Here is a 4402-nt window from a genome sequence, read left to right on the forward strand (position 1 = left end):
GATTTCTCTCTTTGGAAAATCAGATCTGGCAGTAATGAAATCGCCTTTCCCATGTGACAGCAGTTGGCTGGAGCTGAAGAGCAACTGCCCCCTTGGCTGTGTTCCTTTCAGTTTGTCAATCTCCACTCTTCACTGTTGTACCCTAGATCTCACTCACGTGACCTGTCTGGCCCACATAGATATTTGAGGGTATGGCCCTGAACTTGAGGCACTCTGGAGTTGCTAACAACTGATGCTGGGCAGCCTAGAATAAGGGCTCAGGAAAAGTGTAGGCCCTACCTCTCTCTGTTCACATCATTCCCCCCTCCAGCCAGGCTGTCTTCCCAGCTGACCTGGCTCCAGGACTGATTCCAACCCCTATAGCAACTGTGTAAGAAGTCCCCAGGCTCAGGCTTCTCAGTGTTCACTGCTCTTGTCTGTGACCAGGCACTTTGCCTAGGCTCTGACCTCATGTCTCAGTCCTTTTGAACATTCTGGTCACCTGCCTAGTTTGACCGCAGCCTGACTTTGGTCTGTGAGGGGTCCTGGGCTCTCTGCTTTATGCAGCCACCATATCTGATCTTTGTGATGTGGTTGTGAATCTTCTGCTTCTATCTCCACCATCACTGTCCACTGCTTGGGCAATATGGTTGCTCAGCTGAGAGATTGGCAGCCCAGATTGCTAAAGGCTTAGGAGACATGAAAGGTGAGTTTGGAAGTGTTTGGATTTTCAAAAGAAGGACAGAGGCAGAAGCCAACCACAGTTTAAGGGGGCAGCTAGTAGAGAGCTTTTTAGGCAAGGGAGGCCACTGCACATTTATAGGCAGAGAAGGTGGCAGGACAGAGAATTTAAGAGAATGAGGTCTCAGAGGAGGCATAGGATGATGGGATATGAAATAGCAAAGGCACACCCAAGGTGATCCTGAAGCTCAGAAATATTAAGTCATGCAGGAGGGGGCACCATTGGAAATATAATCCCCTAAAGTTATGAGTAAACAAATGATGGTGGGGTGTGGAGGGTAGAAAGAAGGCCTAAGCTTGATGTGGGGGCCACAGCCTGGGCAAGAGAAATTTCCAGCAAAGCCTCTGACAAATTTCTGACAAAGCCTCTCATGTTATCTAGTTGTGGCAGAAGCATCTGAACCAAATGGCTAGGAAGCTTGGTGAACAGTCAGACCCAGTGAGGGTTGATTAATGGATCCATGTCAGCCTAGACTAGAGGGAAGTCTCCAGCAGTATGCCTTAGGGCTCAGTCTGGGCCTGTGTCCTCTCTGACATTTTTATTGACAACTGACCGAAGCAGCAGGCTCATCAAGTTTGCAGGTGATAGAGCTAGGAGGGGCAGTTAATACTTTGCATGAAAGAGTCAGGATTCAAAACGATTTCAACAGGCTGGAACACTGGGCTGGAACCAACAAGATTAAACTTAACAGGGATAAATGTAGAGTCCTGCACTTAGGTTAAAACAAAATCAATGACATAAGTACCGGTTGTAGGGGTTGGCCCAGCTTGACAGCAGTTCATGAAGAAAAGACCTGGGGGGTTTAGTTGACTGCAAGCTCAATATGAGTCAACTGTGTGATGTGACTGCTAAAATCCTAACACAGCCATGAATTGCATTAACCAAACGGAGCAGCCAGATCAAGGGAGGTGTTACCCCACTGCTTTCTGAGATGGTCAGGCCACCTCTGAGCACTGGGTCCAATTCTGAGGTCTTTTCCCCTGCTAAGGTCAGTGACAAATGAGAATATTTTTGATAGGAAGCCACCATGGCAGTGGGCCTGAATACTGTCCGAGACTTGCCAGTGATTCTATGGTGCTGAAATTTCTGGAATGAAGGACAGGAGTCTAGAATCTGAACCCAGGCAAAGACTTTTATCTGGAGCATATTTCTAGGATTTAGGGGAAAATTTGGGGTCTGCATTTCCTCACTTCCTATGGCTGCCCAGAGGCATTGGCCTGTGACTCTCATCCCTGGCCTTCCTGAGGTCAGGGGATTAGCGATTAGTTAGACGGGGTCTAGGGTAGAGGTCAGCCTGAGGGGGCGGCTATAAAACGAGTCATTGAGGTGGGAGGGAACCTGGAAATTGGGACCTCACGCACCATATTTCCCGCGCTCTCCCCTGGGACGTGCCGTCCCTGCTGCAGTCGCAGCGTGGCGCCCTCGCTCCACGCAGGGATCCTGAGCCAATGGCGGAAGCGGAGTGCGCGGCGAGGTCGCAGTTGCGTTTCTCGCACTCCCCACTGCGGGGAGCCCGTGGGCCCCGCACTGCAGGGAAGCTGCCGGCCCAGGTCTCCTGGGTGGCAAGAAGACGCCTGTGGTGTGGAAGAACCTCGCCCGCAGCCCAGCACGTGTAGAATCCAGATGTGGCTTCTGCTGGAGCCACGTGTTCCGGCCTGAGCGACGTCGCACGTGGCCTCCTGGCCGCAGAGCCCATGGCGCGGGGGGCCACTCTTCTGACGCAAGGGTCTGTGGGGCCGCGCAAGAGCCTGGGGCCCCCGACCTTCCGCCGACTGGCCGTGGGCTGGCCGCAGCCCAGCTCGGCTCTGTCTCGAGTTCCTTCGCTGTTCAAAGCAGAGTGGCGGCCACGTTCGGGGGCACTGGGGCGAGGGGTCGGGCGTCGGACGGGGCCCTGGGTCTGTACCGTTTCGGGCTCGCCGGAGGGGCTGCAGGCAGGGCGGGTTTCGGGTTCCACCGCCAGAATAATTCGGCAGTTCTGGATGGGGCCCAGGAATTTGTATTTGTGACCAGTTTCCCAGGTGAGTCTGAGGTCCGTGGTCCTCTGACCTCGTTTAGGGATGAGATCTAGTCCTCAGAGCCCGGGGCGGGGCTGCCGAGGACACCGGCTTGCTCTTCAGGCAGCTCTGGCCCGGGTGGCGGGAGGAGGCGGCCGGGGCTGGGATCCGGGCGCACCCTGGAAGCTCCAGATGGGCGTTGGAGACCTAGGGCGAGATGAACCGAGGACCGTCCATGTGTGTGGGTGCCGCTCAGGAGCGGGGAGGTGGGGGTGTGGGTGGACGGGCGTGTTGAGGGTGATGGATTGCTGCAGGGAGTGGACTCAGCCTACTGGGAGGAGTGGGAGAGGGGAAAGAACTGGAGGAACGGCGGAGTCCGTTGGCCTTTTCTTGGAGAGCTGGAGATGGAGGTTGGTTCTGTCCTGATGGGGGCAGGAGGACGGGTAATGGAGGCTGCCATGCTCAGTGAAGCCCCATGGGGGCAGCCATGCTTTGTGGTTTGTGGTGAGGCACTGAGCCCCAGGATACTGACTATTCCCTTTTTTGGAGAAAGAGGGGAAGAGGATGCTCCTTAAGAGCTTCTAGGGGAACGTTTCTGCCTCCAGGGGGTTTAGGTGAACTGTGTGTGTGTGTGTGTGTGTGTGTGTGTGTGTGTGTGTGTGTGTGTGTGTAGGTTAGCATATTGGAGATTTTCAAGGGAGTTCGTCTCCAGGACACTTCCCTCACCCCTACATCCACACACAGTATCTTATGATCCTCTTGGTTTCTCTTGGGCCTCAACTCCCCAAAAGGGGGGCACTCTTGTCAGCAGCTCACAAACATGTGGATATCTGCTAACTGAAGACACTCTGAAGACTTTCCCAGAGGAACGTTATAGAAGGAACCCTCAAATTCCAAATCCTTGAATATTGGAGCTGGAAGAGAACTTACAAACCATCTGATGCTGTCTTCCCCAGCTTGGTCTTGGAGAGTAGACACCTTAAGTGAAGGCCGAGCTTCGTAAGCCTCTGAGGATCCCAGTACCTGGTGTGGAGACAGGACTTGTGCATTGCCTAGAGAAGGGAGAGACACAGCAGAGTCAAGCGGTGGGTGGTGAGCTTTGATGGTGAACACCTGGGAGCTCAGAGGTGGGTAGGAGCCTATAAAAGAAGGCCCCTTGAAGGAGGGAAGCTAGAGCTGCATCTTTAAATGGGGAAAATTTATCTTTTGTGTTTTTCCCCCTGATTATGAATTTATGAAAATGAAGAAAAAATATATTGGGGCCGGGTGTGGTGGCTCACACCTGTAATCCCAGCACTTTGGGAAGCCAAGGCAGGCAGATCACTTGTGGCCAGGAGTTTGAGACCAGCCTGGCCAGCATGGTGAAACCCTGTCTCTACTGAAAATACAAAAATTAGCTAGGTGTGGTGATGCATGCCTGTAATCCCAGCTACTTGGGAGGCTGGGGCACGAGAATTGCTTGAACCCAGGAGGTGGAGGTTGCAGTGAGCCAAGATTGCGCCACTGCACTCCAGCCTGGGCAACAGAGCAAGACTCTGTCTCCAAAATATGTATATATGGATGGAACACTGTGACATGTTGGTCTTCAGGGGAGCAAAGCTACAGAGGCCTGAATTTCCTGAGGTTTGGAGGGCAGTGAAGAGATGAAGAGGACAGCTCTGACCATTGTTGGAGCACAGTGAGCTCG

The 4402-nt window shown here is 53.3% G+C and overlaps 4 annotated features.

Moving 5' to 3' along the window:
- Positions 1911-2549: an enhancer, noted in NCBI's record as "H3K27ac-H3K4me1 hESC enhancer chr10:102321666-102322304 (GRCh37/hg19 assembly coordinates)". NCBI's record gives its function as "activates a minimal SCP1, AML or CMV promoter by ChIP-STARR-seq in naive H9 embryonic stem cells {active_cell/tissue: H9 hESC(naive)}" and the evidence as "EXISTENCE:reporter gene assay evidence [ECO:0000049][PMID:30033119]".
- Positions 2308-2387: an enhancer, noted in NCBI's record as "active region_3897". NCBI's record gives its function as "activates an Ori minimal core promoter by ATAC-STARR-seq in GM12878 lymphoblastoid cells {active_cell/tissue: GM12878}" and the evidence as "EXISTENCE:reporter gene assay evidence [ECO:0000049][PMID:35858748]".
- Positions 2498-2547: an enhancer, noted in NCBI's record as "active region_3898". NCBI's record gives its function as "activates an Ori minimal core promoter by ATAC-STARR-seq in GM12878 lymphoblastoid cells {active_cell/tissue: GM12878}" and the evidence as "EXISTENCE:reporter gene assay evidence [ECO:0000049][PMID:35858748]".
- Positions 2550-3187: an enhancer, noted in NCBI's record as "H3K27ac-H3K4me1 hESC enhancer chr10:102322305-102322942 (GRCh37/hg19 assembly coordinates)". NCBI's record gives its function as "activates a minimal SCP1, AML or CMV promoter by ChIP-STARR-seq in naive H9 embryonic stem cells {active_cell/tissue: H9 hESC(naive)}" and the evidence as "EXISTENCE:reporter gene assay evidence [ECO:0000049][PMID:30033119]".

This window comes from Homo sapiens, chromosome 10, assembly GCF_000001405.40.
Source record: "Homo sapiens chromosome 10, GRCh38.p14 Primary Assembly".
In the NCBI taxonomy this organism is placed as follows: domain Eukaryota; kingdom Metazoa; phylum Chordata; class Mammalia; order Primates; family Hominidae; genus Homo; species Homo sapiens.